General features: G+C 41.7%; 1 protein-coding gene and 1 long non-coding RNA gene across 10 annotated transcripts in view, besides 6 other annotated features; one reads left to right on the forward strand and one right to left on the reverse strand.

The window, feature by feature from the left end:
• Nucleotides 1-5,945: 5,945 nt before the first annotated feature.
• Nucleotides 5,946-6,651, reverse strand: POU2F1-DT (POU2F1 divergent transcript). The gene has a single exon (NR_185889.1). It is a non-coding gene; the product is annotated as a POU2F1 divergent transcript (long non-coding RNA).
• Nucleotides 6,584-6,693: an enhancer, noted in NCBI's record as "active region_2035". NCBI's record gives its function as "activates an Ori minimal core promoter by ATAC-STARR-seq in GM12878 lymphoblastoid cells {active_cell/tissue: GM12878}" and the evidence as "EXISTENCE:reporter gene assay evidence [ECO:0000049][PMID:35858748]".
• Nucleotides 6,874-6,973: a silencer, noted in NCBI's record as "silent region_1519". NCBI's record gives its function as "represses an Ori minimal core promoter by ATAC-STARR-seq in GM12878 lymphoblastoid cells {active_cell/tissue: GM12878}" and the evidence as "EXISTENCE:reporter gene assay evidence [ECO:0000049][PMID:35858748]".
• Nucleotides 7,000-16,269, forward strand: part of POU2F1 (POU class 2 homeobox 1) — a 206,461-nt gene continuing 197,191 nt past the window's right edge. For 7 of the 9 annotated variants that reach the window (NR_037163.2, XM_011509655.2, XM_011509653.2 and 4 more), the window contains exon 1: nt 7,001-7,073. Coding sequence is in view for 6 of the 9 variants with exons in the window: in XM_011509655.2 (XP_011507957.1) it covers nt 7,013-7,073 (61 nt within the window). In the remaining 3 variants the exon portion in view is untranslated. Of the gene's footprint in view, nt 7,074-16,269 lie in introns of all 9 variants that reach the window. The other 2 variants (NM_001365848.1, NM_001365849.1) reach the window with 1 other exon arrangement.
• Nucleotides 7,324-7,473: a silencer, noted in NCBI's record as "silent region_1520". NCBI's record gives its function as "represses an Ori minimal core promoter by ATAC-STARR-seq in GM12878 lymphoblastoid cells {active_cell/tissue: GM12878}" and the evidence as "EXISTENCE:reporter gene assay evidence [ECO:0000049][PMID:35858748]".
• Nucleotides 7,694-7,973: a silencer, noted in NCBI's record as "silent region_1521". NCBI's record gives its function as "represses an Ori minimal core promoter by ATAC-STARR-seq in GM12878 lymphoblastoid cells {active_cell/tissue: GM12878}" and the evidence as "EXISTENCE:reporter gene assay evidence [ECO:0000049][PMID:35858748]".
• Nucleotides 7,984-8,163: a silencer, noted in NCBI's record as "silent region_1522". NCBI's record gives its function as "represses an Ori minimal core promoter by ATAC-STARR-seq in GM12878 lymphoblastoid cells {active_cell/tissue: GM12878}" and the evidence as "EXISTENCE:reporter gene assay evidence [ECO:0000049][PMID:35858748]".
• Nucleotides 8,224-8,403: an enhancer, noted in NCBI's record as "active region_2036". NCBI's record gives its function as "activates an Ori minimal core promoter by ATAC-STARR-seq in GM12878 lymphoblastoid cells {active_cell/tissue: GM12878}" and the evidence as "EXISTENCE:reporter gene assay evidence [ECO:0000049][PMID:35858748]".

The raw sequence follows: 16,269 nt of genomic DNA on the forward strand, positions 1-16,269 counted from the left end.
AGGATCCAGTGAGGAAAATCAAGACAGAGTTAGAGAGATCAGAGGAGAAATTGAAGAGCAATTTGTCATTGAGACCAGAAGCAGAGATGGCTTTGAGAAGGAAGGAACGATCAACATTGTCAAATTGCCGAGAGATGGGGCAAGATGAAGAGTGAAGATGTCATCAGATTTGGCAGTTAGGAGTTCATCAGTGGTTTCCAATAAAGTAATTTCAGTAAAATCATTGGAGCAGATGTCAGACTGTAATGGGTTGTTGAGTAAATGCAGGGAGAGTTTATCTAGAGAATGCTTATGAGGAAGAATAAAAAGAGGCAGGAAAAACCAGGAAGGGCAGAAACGTAGTCAATAAATGCAGGGGGAAAAATAGGCATCTCATTGCATGGAAACGAAGTGAAGGATTGAATGTCTAGATGCGAGGGGAAGGCAGGTTGGGGCAGAAGCTGGCAGCTAAGGCGGCGAACAAATCTGGGGGCTCAGAGAAGAAAGGAACAGAGGATATGCAATCAGGCAATCTTTGGTTCAATTCCTAGTTCTGTCCCTTACTGTGTAAACTTGGGCAAGTTACTTAATCTCTGCCCTTCAGATGCTAAAAAATAATCCTCAGAAAAAGGACAGATACTCCAACAACACTCCTACAGTAAATATGATAACTTCTAAGAGTTTTTTCTTCTTATGATTTTAATGTAGGCTGATGACATAAGTCCAAAGTACGATTCTAGGAAAGAATCTTACAGGGGACAAAATGATGTATTTCAAGTGCATGGCTTTCTGACAGTTTGGCTTTTAAGAGTATCTAGAGGTGAAATAGCAAATGGATTTTATATTGCATGCCAATGCTAGGAGATGCCAATGGCTGCTCAAAGCACTGGTTGGGTAGAATCATGTTTGAGCAAGAGTCTAGGCTCAGCATAAGAAAGGGTTATGGATTAAAGAAGTTGCCCAGGGGCGTGGAAAGGATAGTAAGTAGCAAGAGCAGTGCCATATACAGTATTTGCTGACACTGAATTAGAAGAGAAAATGGCTATGTATCCATCAGATAGTTCTCCATAAGTGATATTGAGCTTTTTGATAAGTAATGAATTGTAAAGATTTCCGAGAAGTAGAAATATTCTATGCTGTACATTAAGGGTAAGAACATAAATTACAGTAGTCAGCTACAGTCAGAAAGTGTGACATCCTTTTATGAATGTTAAGGCATGTGACCAGTTTACATTCATTAATTTAGCAGAAGGTCTCTCCACCTGCTCAAGGGGGAAAGACCATGGAAATATCTGAGGCAGGATCAAAATCTTCCTTGGAAAAACAGGATACTCTATAAGACATGGACAAAAAGGAGATGAGGGTTCCAGTGCTTCATATCCAATGATCATCATCATTTTATCTTGAAAACTTTTTTTGTTTTTTTTTTTTTAAGAGACAGTCTCTTTCCATGTTGCCTAAGTTAGTCTCAAACTCCTGGACTCAAGCAAAGCTCCCTCCTCAGCCTCCCAAGTAACTGGGCTTCCAGGCATGTGCCACCATGCCTGGCTTGAAAACTTTTAAAAGTTTCTTTTGCCAAGCTTGCTTAATAGTATTTATAGTATATGCACCTTTAAGCTTGATGTACTTACAGTCTATGCACTTTGGTTGAATCTTCCAAGACAGTGTATTTCATTATATATATATATATATATATATATATATATATATATATATATATGAAATTATTTGTGTGTGTGTATAAACTATTTTATCTATGCTAACGATTCAATTGATTTTCTTGTATTTTCTACATAGACAATAACTTACACATAAAAATGATAATTTCTATGACTCCCCAATATTTGTACCAATTATTTAATTTCATTTACTTTTTACCCTTGCCAAAGTGTCAATAGAATGCTAAAGAGTAATGGCATCCTTTTTTTTCTTGATTTTATATACTTCTAGATATGTATATATGTACACACACCCACACACACACACACACATATATATATATACCATGTTTTTAAACAAAATCTCATCTTGAACTCCAATACAGGTGAAGCAGAACCATTCTGGCTGAAGGGGACGTAGAGGGCTTGTTTTTCATCAAGGCTGGCACTGACGACTTCACAGAACATAGTTTGAAAGCCTCTGCTGTAAGATTAGTTACGAAATGCATCCCTAGGCCACAAAACAAATTAATTTGCTAGATTAGAATGTTCATCTTTATGAACAGGTGAAATGTTGGGGATGTTTATAAAAAGTAATAATTTTTTATTTAGTCACTTAAGGCAATTATAATCATTAAAATACATCTCCCAGTGTCTGGATTCCCCAGTCTTTAACAAAACCATGTGGTAGCACCAAGAGTTAACTCCAGTACAAGGAAGGCTGTGCCAGTCCCAGTCCTGTGCTTCCCTCTGCCTGTGGAGAAGGTCTGATCTGCTAATTGCTCCTAACAGGGTGTGGTCTTTTGAGAAAAATGGCACTTCAAGGCCCAAGAACACTGCAGGTATTTCAGTCTTCACATCTGCATTCTGGGCAGCAGGAAGACAAAAAAAGGAGGAAGAATAAACTTGCTTGTTTTATTTTTTTGAGACAGAGTCTTGCTCTGTCGCCCAGGTTGGACTGCAGTGGTGAGATTAAGGCTCACTGCAGTCTTAACCTTCCAGGCTCAAGTGATCCTCCCACCTAAGCCTCTCAAGTAGCTGGGACTACAGGCATGTGCCACCACATCCAGCTAATTTTTATATTTTCTGTAGAGTCACAGTCTCATATGTTGTCAGGGCTGGCCCTGAACTCCTGGCCTCAAGCAATCCTCCCGCCTCGGCCTCCCAAAACTTGCTTCTTGAAAAAGCATTCCCAGAAATCCCACCAAATTAACTCTTTATAATTCAATAGTCAAAATTTTGTCACACATGGCCACACCTAGCTGCAAGGGAGCCTGTGTGTTGCACTTTAGCAAGACAGATGGAACACATTCCTGTTGACACTTTAGGGCTGTTACTAAGGAACATTCATCCAGTAATGGTAACAGCTAGGCAGAAGTAACCACCACTCCCCTGCACTACTGTGCCATGTGTGTATTTTACTATATGTACAGATTTGTGTTACCACTACCATACTCAGGATACAGAACAACTCCATTAACCACCCCCCTCCTCCAAACTTCCCTTGTGCCTATCCCTTATAATCACATCTTCCCCTGTAACTATCTCCTGGCAAACACTGATCTGTTTTCCATCACTATAGTTTTGTTATCTCATTAATGTCATACAGATGGAACCATATAGTACATGGTATATAACCTTTTGAGACTGGCCTCTTTCAGTCAGCATAATGCCTTTGAGATTCATTGAAGTTGTTGTATATGATAGTAGTTCATTCTTTTCAATTGCTGAGTAGTATTCCATGGTATGAATGTTTTATTCATTCATATGAAAAACATTTGAATTGTTTCTACTTTTTGGCAATTATAATAGTTGCTATTTGTTTCTAAGTGAAGTTAAGTTCTCATCCACATATACCTTTTTATTTGTATTTATTTATTAAAATCATTTTTTTGAGACAGAGTCTCACTCTGTCACCCAGGTAGGAGTGCAGTGGCACCATCATAGCTCACTGCAGCCTCGAACTCCTGCCCTCAAGCAGTCCTCATCCCTCACCTCAGCCTCCCAAGGAGCTAAGGAGCTGGGACCATAGGTGTGTGCCACCACACCCACCTTAACTTTTGGCTTTTTGTAGAGACAGGGACTGTGTTGCCCAGGTTGGTCTTGAACTCCTGGTGTCAAGCAATCCTCCTGCCTCAGTCTTCCAAAGTGGTAGGATTTTAGGTGCAACTACTGCACCTGGCCTACATTTTTATTATGACATTATATACAAGGACATTGTTTGTTAATGTGTTGTTCCCTTCCTATACTGAACTATATGTACCCATATGGTTTAATCTGTGACCCCACCAAATCTCATGTCAAATTATAATCCCCAATTTTGGTTGTGGGGCCTGGAGGGAGGTGATTGGATCATGGGGGTGGATTTCCCCCTTGCTGTTCTGGTGACAGTGAGTTCTCATGAGATCTGGTTAAGTGTGTATCTCACAGCTTGTGGAACTGTGAGCTAATTACACCTCTTTGTAAATTACCCCATCTCAGGTATTTCTTTATAGCAGTGGAAGAACAGACTAATACAGAGGTGTCTGGATCATTGGGGTAGATTTCTCATGAATGGTTTAGCACCATCGCCTTGGTGCTGTCCTCATGACAGTGAGTTCTTGTAAAAGTGTGTGGCACCTGCCCCCCTACCCTTTCTCTTGCTCCTGTTCTCCTGTGTGATGTACAAGCTCCTGCTTGGCCTTCACCACGACTGTAAGCTTCCAGAGTCTTCCCCAGAAACATAGTCCTTCCCAGTGCTATGCTTCCTGTATAGCCTACAGACCCATGAGTCAATTAAACCTCTTTTCTTGTAAGTTACCAAGTGTCAGGTATTTCTTTATAGCAATGCACGAACAGTCTAATACATGTACCTCCAAGATTTTGCCTGACCCAAAGCAAATAACTTAGTGTAGTGGTTAAGAGTACGGTCCCTTGCCTGTGTTTGAATTTTAGCTCTAACACTTAATAGTGGTGTGACACTGGGCAAGTTACTTGACATCTCTATGCCTCAATCTTCCCATCCTAGATAACTGGGATAAAGAGTTTCTACCTCCCAGGGTATTGTAAGGGTTTTTTTTTTTCTTTTTTAAAGTGATATATGTGAGTTTGCTGAGGTTAAAGTAGTGTCTTACACATTTTCCTATCTTTAGCACCTAGTAAGTTCATGAGAATGCAGATGTTTACAATTTTTTATTGAATAAATGACATTAATTTTACAAATAATCCTAACATACATAACTGTATATTCACTATTTTTCTTCAACAAATATGAACACCTACTATGCCCAGGCATTGTGCTAGGCACTGGGGACAGCTGGAAACATAAATAACTCATTAGGAGGAAAATGAAACTTTGATACAGTCTATTTTAAGCTATTTTTGTTCTCACAGAACTATCCTTCCTTAAATAAAAATCCTTTCCATGAAAATTTCCTTTTATAGAAGTGAAACAGTAAAGAATGCATAACACATACACTAGCTTCAATGACTTTCCGAAGGTCATATTAATATACTTTTTGAACCAAAGAGCAAAACTAGGATTAAATAGAAGACAGGAAATTAAATGAGGGTATTTGAGCTCTTTTTCTTAATGGAGATGATTTCAAATTTGTGGTCCCCAGAGCAGGGGCATGTACTTAACTATTTCCAATAAGGTTGTCAATTCTGAGACTTCCCTTACAGTAATGCTGGTGAAAATAACTTAGGCCATATTTCCAGATTAACTAGTTAAATATTTCATTTCCTTAAGTGTGCTGGTTGGCGTGGCTCTAAATAATTAGATTACAGGGCGGTCTAATTATTTGGTTCAAACAGTCATGCACACACCCTAAGGCTTAATTACCACGAACAAATCAATCCCACCCCCAAATCGTTGCCTGTCACTGACAATAGCTTTAACTGTACTTGCACAGTTAAAGGAGTCCAACGAGCATTCTAGGACTGATGATTAAAACTTTACCCATTAAAATAATTGCACTCACTTGGAAATCAGTTTTGTTTTTAATTGTAGAACCAGCAGTTCTACCCAATTTAAACTTCAGTCATATCTCTCAAGACAGATTAACTAGAGCTGATTTTTTTTAAACTTTGCTTACCATGAAATACACCTTTCTATTCTTAAAAAACAAACAAACAAACAAAAATAGGGCTTTAAAAATTCGTAAAATAATTAGACCTGGGACTTTGTCCAGGGAATTTCGCCATTTAAGATAAAGAAAACTCAGCAACATTATGTCTAGTTACCAAGAAAGATATGTGCAACGCGAAACCTTTCCCCAATACCATATTTACTCTGAGAAACACAGCAAAATAAAATTCACGATGAAGTTACGATTTCGACATTTTTATTAGTCATCAGCTTACTGCTAGGTTTTAAAAGGTGTTCCAAGGCGGGAAGAAGGCGCGGGGGGAAGCCTCAGAATATGGGGTCTGTTTCGATTGGGGGGAGCGGCGTTAGAGGGGCGTGAAGGCAGAAAGGAAGGGTAGGGCGGAAATTAGCGACTTAATAAGACGCCTAGCTCCCGAGGAAGCCAGCCTGGCGTTAGAAGCAAGTAGAGCAGAAGAGATTTAGGGCTAATTAAAACAATCACACGACACTCCCCCTCGCGTTTGCCGGGGCCGGGTCTCCTGCACTAGCAGAGCCGGGGGCGGGGATTAGCTCGGATTCAAATTTAAAGCGGGAGGCCCGCGTGTGGCTCAGCAGGTGCCTCATGCCCGGCTCCCGTGGCGGTCGTTTCCGCCCCTACCTGCCCAGAGGGCCGGAAATTACCTAGCGAGGAGCGGCTTATCCATTGTTGCCAATGTTTCAACTGCGCGGAAACCCTGAAGAAAGTGCGGAGCACAGGGCACGCGGGCCGCTCACTGCCCTTCCACGCGCCCCCACGTTTCTGGCCGCTGCGCTCCTTGCCGTGCTTTTACAATGCCACAGGCCACTGGGGGAGACCGGAGCGAAGCCAGGAGGGAAGCAAGGCGGGAGGAAAAGGGAGAAGTGTAAGAAGACACAGGCGCCCGGGATACTATATAATCTGGTTCTGAGCTAGAGGGAGCGCATGCGCCGGCGACACTTCTGGCGGCAGGAGAAAGGCGCGCATGCGCAGAGCCGAGACGAAAAATGAAGCCACAGGGTGCCTGGCTGATTGAGGGCGCTGCTTTAGCTACCGAAGGGCCACAGCGCCCCGAAGGCGCGTGCGCAGAGCGCGGGAAGGGGGTGGAGCTCTTCTGAGGGGGCCGGGGCGAACAGAGCCGGCCTCGCGCGCCCCCTGGCGCGCGCCCGGGGAGAGGAAGGAGCGGGAGGGGGCGGAGAGGAGGGAGGAGGCAAGCAGGGCGGGAGGGGGGAGGGGAGCCAGAGCGAGGGAGGGTTTATCGACCGGGCGATTTTGGTTAAAATATTCAAAATGGCGGACGGAGGAGCAGCGAGTCAAGATGAGAGTTCAGCCGCGGCGGCAGCAGCAGCAGGTAATCATTACAGCATTTTACATATTCATATTCATACTCAACCCCGGCTCCCGCTGCCCCCCCCCGCGACTTAGCATAATTTATTAGTACTCAGGATTATTATAATTAACGGCGGGGAGATGGGGGGCCGGGGAGCATTGAGCCCCCGCCGGGCGCTGAGCGGAGGGGGAAAGAGGCTCGGAGCGGCCAGGCGGAGGGGGAAGACAAGGGGCAAAGGGGGCTGCGATCCACTGCCCTCCTCCTGCACCCGGCCCACCCCGCCGCCGCTCGCCGTCTGCCCGTCGGCACCGGCCCTCCTCCTCTGCCGGCCGCCGCTGCCGCCTCCTCGCCGCCGTGCCCGAACCCGAGCGGGTCCGCGGCGGGGCGGCGGGGCCGGGGCAGAGGGAGAGGACAATAAAGACATTTTACATATTCATAGCTGCTGGGCCGGCGGGGCGCAGTAGGGCGCGGGCGGGCGGCCGGGGCCGGGCGGGCGCGGGGTGGGGGGCGTGAAGGGGGATGGAGGCGGCGGCGAGCACAATGCCGGGGAGGCGGCGGGGCCGGAGCGGACCCCGGCGGCCGGACACCCGCACGCGTCTTCCCCCGGGAGCGGGCCCGGGCGGGGGGGCGCTGCCCGCCTTGGGGGGCGGCCCTCAGGGCAACCGGGGGTGCGCGCGGGGAGAGCTCCCTGCCCGCGCCCCGCGCGGGGCTGAGCCCGGGGGTCACGGCCCCAGGCACTTCGGCCTCGCCCCACTGGTCCCCAATGTGGTGGCCTGACCCAAGCCAGGCCTGCTCTCTAGGTGGGTAGGGGTGAGCGGTCGTGGGCGCTGCGAGGTGGCCTGGGGCGGCGGGGGTGGGGAACCCGCGCAGGGGTCTGCGTGCCCCCCCTGGGGGGTGGACTGGATTGGAAGGAGTCCTTGGGGCAAGTTCCTTCCGAGGGGATGTCCTCTGGGGCGGCCCGCGCGCCCCCGGCCGGCGGTCGGCAGCCCCTTTGCGTTGTCGGCCGGGGCTTCGCGGGCGAGTTGGGCTGGAGGTGCCTGGCGTGGTCTGACCTCCGTCTCCCTTTGCCCCTCCCCGCTGCCCCCCCTCCGTTCCCCCCACCCCCTGCGCCTGACCGGGACGCACGGGGCGGGTGGCCCTCCGGGGCCTCTCGCTCCGAGGCCCCAGAAGCGCCCAGAGGCCTCCCGAGAACTTGGATGTAAAGGGCTGCCCTCCTGCCCCAGAATGGGCTGGCCTGACAAGTTGATCGTATTCTCGATTTCCTCTCTCCTGTTGGGAGTCGGTGGGGAGGGACGGGGATCCCCCTCCCTTCTTCTGTGGCGGTGTTTTCTCGCTGTGTGCTGGGTCGTCTTTACTCTCTGCTTAGCTGAACCTCTTCTCATTTGAATAATGTCTAATTCGGGGAGGTTTATATTATTGAAATGGCCGCCTGGCTTTCCCCGCCTCTCATGTTTAGTAATTCAGACCTTTAATAACAGCCACTCACAGCCCAACGCCGTGTTTATATTTTACATTCGCCCCATGTGCTTTTGTGGTTCGATATGATTTTTTTTTTCCTTGGCAATCCGCAGGGCTCTGAGATCAAACCCAGGCCGTGCTGGGAAGAGAGGGGGGAAGCTGGGCCTTGGCTTCTCTAGCAGTTGCCTAGGCCTCATGTTCTCTGCTGCTTGATTTATTTACTAATAACCAAAATGACTACCTCCACCAACTTCCACACACTTTCCCCTCCTCTGCGGGCAAAACAAACTCTCTTGGGGCTTTACTAGCATTAAAACAGGTCCTAGCTAAGTATCAACTCTGTGATGGTTTGTTTTCTCTTAAAAAGACTTTCTTATACTTTGCAGTAGTATTGGGCCTAGGGGGAAAAATCTGTCCTGTATTTTATTTTCAGAGCCTATGAAATCTATTTTGGTTTAATCCAAATCACTTTGTTTTGGGGATGGGTACCCCGGTTGCTCCCCACCCCCATGTTAAATACTTTAAGGCTTTGTAAAGGTCTGTAGTATTTGTAAAACTGACACTTTTTTTTTCCTCTAGGAGTTGTGGAGTAGCTAAATATTAGAAATTCCAATTAACAACAGTTTCATAATTTCTTGGTGTGGTGCTACCTTTCTGACATCTTCATTCTAATTTAAAATGGAGCTGACGTTAATTTTGTGCTATCATTGTCATAGACTTGCTTATTTTAATTGTAGCACTACTGAAAACAAAAAAATGGGGTTATGTTTTCTTTGAGTATTTGTGTCATGATTAAATGAGTGAAAAGAGAAGAATAAACATAGGCATTGCGTTTACCCTGATCTTGGAACTTATTCTCCTCCCAGCACACCCGCCCCTCCTCTTTAAGTTGTCAGAATTGATGTTATGTTTTATCTAGACTTAGGACAGTTGGCTTGTGAGAGGCAGATTAACTTTTACTGTTTAGAGGAAACAGTAATTTTGATTTTTGGTCTTTCCTGTGGTAAAATTTTCTTTTAACATTTTTATTTTGTGTAGGGGTGTGTGTGAGTGTGAGTGTGACTAGTGTTGCCTGTCACTGGTGGATGTTTACCGCTGCGTAGTCGAGGGAAGTATTAGAGGAGTGGGGTTTAACACTAATGTGTTAAACCTTTGAAATTATGTTAAGACATTTTGGTGAGTGGCTAGCTATGTATTTTGTGGGACTTTGGTCTTCAGTTTAATTTGTAACAAAATTCTAGGTTTGATGGATTAAACGCAAGCTAATTTCAGATAACCAGTTCTCACCATTTTTCTTCTTTCACTCACAGTAGGCAGGCCCTGAATGCAGCAGGAAAAAAAAAAATCTGTAGCTTTTAAGAGAACCTTCAGGTGAATGACTGCTTCAGAGACCTGAAGTATGAGGTCAGATGGACAAAAAGCAGCAATATAATTTCATGCCTTAAATAGCATATGTTTTTGCACCCGATTCCCAAGATGTGGTCAAACTGATGATGTCATTGGACAGAGGACAAGGTGCAGTTAATTTGATTTATTGTCCTGAGGTGAAGTGTAGCAGTGAAGCCTTCTCATAGGGAAACCATTTATTTCGGGTCAATTTCCTTTATAGCTGCAATTTAATCACTACTGAGGCCGTAGATATTTTATACAAAATGATAAAATGTACATTGGATTTTACAAGCAAAATTTCGCTGTTACAGTTTTTGTAATACAGAAAAGGATGGATGTTGTTAACTGGCCTTATATTTTGGTTCACTTTTAATGCTATTGTAAAAATTCATTTCCTCAAAATTCTCAAATGGAGTATTTGGGTTTTAGATAGATAGTCATAGAAGTGACCCATATAAATGTTTGTTGTGATCCCCCAGACTTTTATAAGAAACTGTGTTTCTTAATCAGAGCATGGCTTAGGCTAATGGAGAGACCATTTGCCTTAGAATCCATTTCAGTGAATAAAGCAGAGTTGAGAATGAGGGCTGTGTATTCTTTAAGGTGGAAATGATAATGTTGAAAATAAGGTAGAATACTCACAGGAAAGCATGTGCTTTTAAAACAGATTTTTTAAAAAAAATTCAGAATTCTTTTTGGATTTATCTTAGTCTGGACAAGTTTGTTCATTTTGTTTTGATTAGTGATTTTAAAATTGTTCCATTGCAACAGTGATTGCACTTAGAATTTTTGACATATTAATAGATTTTCTTGTAAGACATTTCTCATATTTTTAATTATTAGTTTATTTTAAGGTGATGATTAAAATTCCCTGAGAATGTGATAAAATTGCTTTATTTCTAACCTGAATTTGTGATCCAATTTTGATAGAGTATTTTAGGTTACTTTTGAACCCACATGAGTTTATAACCTGCCTGTCTCCTTTTGCATCTGTCAAGTAGTTTCCTGCGTATTTCTAGGAAATCCATTGTCACTGTCTTCTTTTTTTTTTTTTTTTTTTTCCAGACAGAGTCTTGCTCTGTCTCCCAGGCTGGAGTGCGTTGGTGCGATCTCGGCTCACTGCAACCTCTGCCTCGTGGGTTCCAGTGATTCTCCTGCCTCAGCCTCCTTAGTAGCTGGGACTACAGGCATGCGCCATGACGCCCGGCTAATTTTTGTATTTTTTGTAGAGGCGGGGTTTCACCGTGTTGGCCAGGCTGGTCTCGAACTCCTGACCTCAAGGGATCCACCCGCCTCGGCTTTCCAAAGTGCTGGATTACAGGCGTGAGCCACCATGCCCAGCCCGTTGTCACTTTCTTAACTCTCCCACCTATTAATTACAATGATACTTTTGAATCAAGGTCTTGAAAATTCATGTGACAGCTGACCAACTGTTTTTGATTTCTAAAGGACTGTTCTGCTTCCAAACCATTACCGTAAAAGCAATTTTTAACCTCTTCCCTCAAATTAGTTTGTAATTCCTTTCATTTTGTCATTGTCAAAAATCCCAGTAGACAAGGAAAAAACAAACCGTAGCTATTATTCAGGTTCAAATGAATTCAGGTGTAGTGTTCTGCCATATTTTAAATTTACTATTCTCTACATCAATAGGTAGTATAAAGCAGTGTAAATAAAATATGTTTCATTGCTGCCTAGTTTGAAGTAATTGTCAATCTGCCATTCATCTGGTTAGTGGATTTTGCAATAAGTTCAGGGCTCAAAATGTTACGTTGCTCTTCTCAAGCCACCAAAGATGTTTAATAGACCCTTGAATATCTTAGGCAGGTGGTTCTGAAATAACAGAAGTGGAAATTTGAATGTTATCTTTAAGTATTTTCTATTAAAAATTGAAATATTTGACCTGCTTCTTGAATCTGTATTGCTTCATCTTGAATTTATTTGTGTTTTTTAAGTTGGTCACTCATTTTCATGAATGTTTCCTTTGTACTTGGAAGACTGTAATATTATGTAGTAGTGATTGCCTTGTTGTTATCGGTTATTTTTGTTTTGTTTTTTAATTTTGAAACCCCATAGTTGTAATCTTTGCATATTAGTCTTTCAAGCACCATTAAAAATAATGTTGTGTGACTCATTAATTTGCCTTTATATAATTGTGTTAATTACACAGTTTTTGTGATTAGTAAAGACTTGCTATGAAGCCTGATTTTAAGCAGGAATGTGTTTTTCCTAATGAAAGTGATTGCATTTGAATTTAGAACTATTCAGGTAATTTGCGTTTAGGGAACAGACCAAGTCACAAACAAAACATGCCCCCTTTTGGTTATCCATGTTCTTGTTTCTGATCCCTCCTTAAATGCTAAATGCCTGAGCAAATGTACTTACTATTTCTTGGGCGTTAGAGTTGAAAGTTGTTGATTTGATTCAGTGACATATCTGCTTTGAATTTCTGTACCCTTTCTGCATGAATTTTTTCCTTTTCCTTTTTTTGGGGTAACTTTGAGTCACCATTTTGCTTACTTCTTACTGTGTTGCTTAAAGGATGTAAATATCCTTTTGAGTGGTTGAAAGGGATAATAATTAAGGTTCACAGAGAATAGCAGTTTCCTTATGCATCTTTCGCTGGACATTTTTGTGCATTATTGACATTTCATAAGTAAAGAGAATTGAATAACTGTAGATTTTAATTCTTCTTAGGAATAAATTGGTTTGTTTTGTACCGAAGTATTTCTGTGTTCTAAACAGGTGATGAGCTCTTATAAACTGTTTCAGCAGTAATAACAATGGAAACAAAAATAGCCTGAGTAGAGCTATTGCCTGACTTACTTGATCCGTTTACAGTATGTTTAGAATTTGGAATATGAGAATTGTCTTGAGTTTCAGAAGTTCTGATTTGAAGATGCTCCTTGCATACAGTGCATGTGGTTATGGGGTTCTGTGTGTTTTTACTATGGGGTGTGAATTTTTTGAGCATTGGTATCTTTGTATACTCAGTGACTAATAGAGCTCTTTTGTTTTTGGGTTTTATTTATTTATTTATTTATTTCCAATTAAGCAAGCACTCAAGATTTCAGTGTTGCCTACATTTGCTGACAGGACTAGTAATTGAGCAAAAGAAGAATCAGCAAACCTCTAGATTTATCAGATTATCTTTTATTCATTTATTTTCTCTTATTTTTAATTTTTTTTAAGAGATGGGGTCTTGCTATGTTGCCTAGGCTAGTCTAAAACTCCTGGGCTTAAGCAGTCCTACTGTGGCCTCCCCAAGTGCTGGGACTACAGGCATGAGCTACCACACCTGGCCCAGATTTCTTTTAAACTGCTGGAACTCCTGGACATTTATCCGGAGAGGATACATTATACTAACTTTTTTTTAACAGCCAATGTTCACATTCCACAAAGCTAAGTGTTTGTAGTAGCTTTACTAAGTCTTCAATATTGAAAGTCATAGCAAGTGCAGTTTATCACATTATTTATTTCATAATTCTTTGTAACTTTATGCTTTTTATGTTGGAATATAGAAATGGTATATGAAATTAAATCAATAATAATAATTATTATGGCAGGTTTCCCCCCCTCTGTTGAACTTTCTCTTTGCAATAGAAGATATAAACAGGAATGGCTGGAAAATGAACAATATGCTGTGTGTTAAACGACTCATTTGTGCTTAAACATATGATTACCTTAATGGAGTTGCACTGATACCTTAAAGGGAATATATTTTTATATGGAAAAGTGACTTAGGTGTTTTCTTGTTTTAGTACACTTATTTTAGTGGTCTGCTTAATGAAAAATACAGCCTTTTTTGGCTGATTCATACTGCAGCAAGCAATATTATAATTAATGTTTTAAAGTAGTTACCATCCTAGTCTATAAAAGGTATCTGCTATGTACCTGGTCCTATGCCTGTAGTCTTTGGGAATAACAAGGAAATATGACTGCTGCGGAGGAGTTGGTATGTTTACTTAAGCAGGAAAAATTGAAAAACAGTGTATATAATTACATATTAAAATATGTAACAGATAATGAAGATTGGAGAATAGATCAGAGTGTGTCCAAGTTTGAAAGAGCCAGAGCATCCTAGAATATATTATAGCTGGAAGGTAATTTAGATATAATCTTTGCTAAAGGTTTTGCTTCACAGATGAGGAAATATTTTCACAATGGTTTAGTGACTTGCTCACAGTCACTTAACTATTCAGTAACAGATAAGAACACAAGACTTCTAACTTTCTCCCACCTCCCAGTCTCTCCTCCTGCCCCATTGCTGTCAGTCAGAGAAGGCTTTATGTAGAAGGCGAGACTTTTAAACCGAGCTTTAAAGGGCAAAAAGAATTTAGAGGAATGGGAATACAGAGAAGGCCATTGAAGGGGAGATTGTGTTCAACATTGTGATGTATAGGTAAAGAATGAGGAAGCATTTGTTCTATCTGCAGGAAAGCTGTTGGAGGATTTTGAAATAGGGACTGATGTGATAAAAATGGTGTGTTAGGAGTAATGTGGTGTGCAGGATGGTTTGAAATAGGAAGGGAGAGATTAGATCCATAGAAACCAGTGTATAGAGGTATTTGGTTTATTAACTAATTACTGTAGGTGCTACTAGAGATACAAACATAATTTAAAAATTACTTGACCTCAAGAGACTTCCAGTCTAATTTATGAAATAGATAAGTCGTGATAAAGGTGTTGAGGATATTGTCCAATTACATTACATGGAATAAGGACGTTTGGGAGAAATTCTTACCTGGCCTTTACAGTAGAAACTATTTGTTTTTAGTCTTATGGACACTGAATTGTCTAATTGACTTAGTTTCCTTTTCAAATCAAACTACAGTTTGATTTGGTCAAATTTAGGTCAGATTATTAACCTGAGAAGCACATGCATAGGCAATTACGTTTGCATTTCTTAGCCTGATTAGTAGATCAATTTTTTGTCCATGCATTTGTTTTGTATTTCTTGTATTGCTTCCATCTTTAAACTCTTTTTATCTTGTTTTATGTGGGCCACCTTACATCCTTTCTGGAGCAAGGCAGGTATAAATAATATTACCATAACCATGGCACAGTGATAATGTCTGTATTTTTATAGTACTTTAAAATTTATAGCCACATTCTCATTTTCATTACCTCAGTTAGTCCTTTCAGGCAAGCGTTACTATACCCATTTTATAGTCGAGTAAAATAAAACTTAGATTAAGTGACTTTCTCAAGGTCCTGTGTTTTTATAAGCATTAAGTGTGGGTAATAGCAAGACTTCCAGCTTAGTTGTTATTTAGGCTGTGTATTAAGGCACTTTGGGGCTCTATTGTGGAGAGCTCTGAATCCTTTGTGTTGGTGTAAGAGTTTGGATTTTATTTGCTAGGCAGTAGGAAGTCACTGAATTTTTTTTTTTTAATTTTTTTTTGTTATGGACAGTGCCATGATCAGAGCCCTTAAAGTTTAGCAGCTAATTAGATGCAAAGAGATTATCAAGGTTTTGAGTTTAGGTTATCCAGAAAAGAGCATTACCATAAGCAGATGTAGGGATGTTGGGAAAAGGAGCCATTTGGGGAGTAAGTCAGTGAATTCACTTTGACATGTCATTTGAGACATGTTTGGGTGGGTCTTATTGGGTTGTAGATTCCTTGTGAAAATTGAAAATTTTTTAGTGAATTAAATGTTTGATAAACATTAATACTAGGGTTGAAATTTATGCTCATGCCACTGTGCGTGTGGACTGAGTATTGAATCTGAACGTTGTAAATTCTAGATATCTCATTTTGGCTTTGGCACTGTCTTCTAAGGTTATTTCCTTCAACAATACGATGGTGATAATACCAGTGTTAGAGGGATGCTGTGGGGAGTATCAAATTGATAGCAGAAGCATTTTTAAAGTAACTCTGTAATAGTTTTTCTTACATGAGCACAGGAGTAAAATCAGGAATTTTATTACTTGTGCTGCTGTAGAGAAGCAGAAGCTTTAGCAGCCGATGGATTCTGTGGGGCACCTGACTGTAGGTTGTTCATTTTTTGGTGCAGCCAGCATCTTAGGAGGAATGGACACTCCTAATACTCTTCTGAAAACTTTATACAGTGGAGGTGTTGCATTGTAGCAAATACAACTTACCTTGATTTCAGGGCATTCTGTTATCTAGCCCCTACCCTTGCCTATGCATTATTATCTTTACTACTTCCTTAAATAGCATGACTCAACAATTCCATCAAGGAAGTTCCCTTATTGTCCATTTCTACCACAAATACAGCATATTATCAGATTTTAATTTTTAAAGAAATTTCCCTAAAATTTGAAGATCTATCTTGGGAGGATGGCTATAATTTATCCTGAGACTTACCTGAGCCTTTCTCCCATTACCATCCTTGCAACACCAATCCC

Source organism: Homo sapiens, chromosome 1 (assembly GCF_000001405.40).
Source record: "Homo sapiens chromosome 1, GRCh38.p14 Primary Assembly".
NCBI lineage: Eukaryota > Metazoa > Chordata > Mammalia > Primates > Hominidae > Homo > Homo sapiens.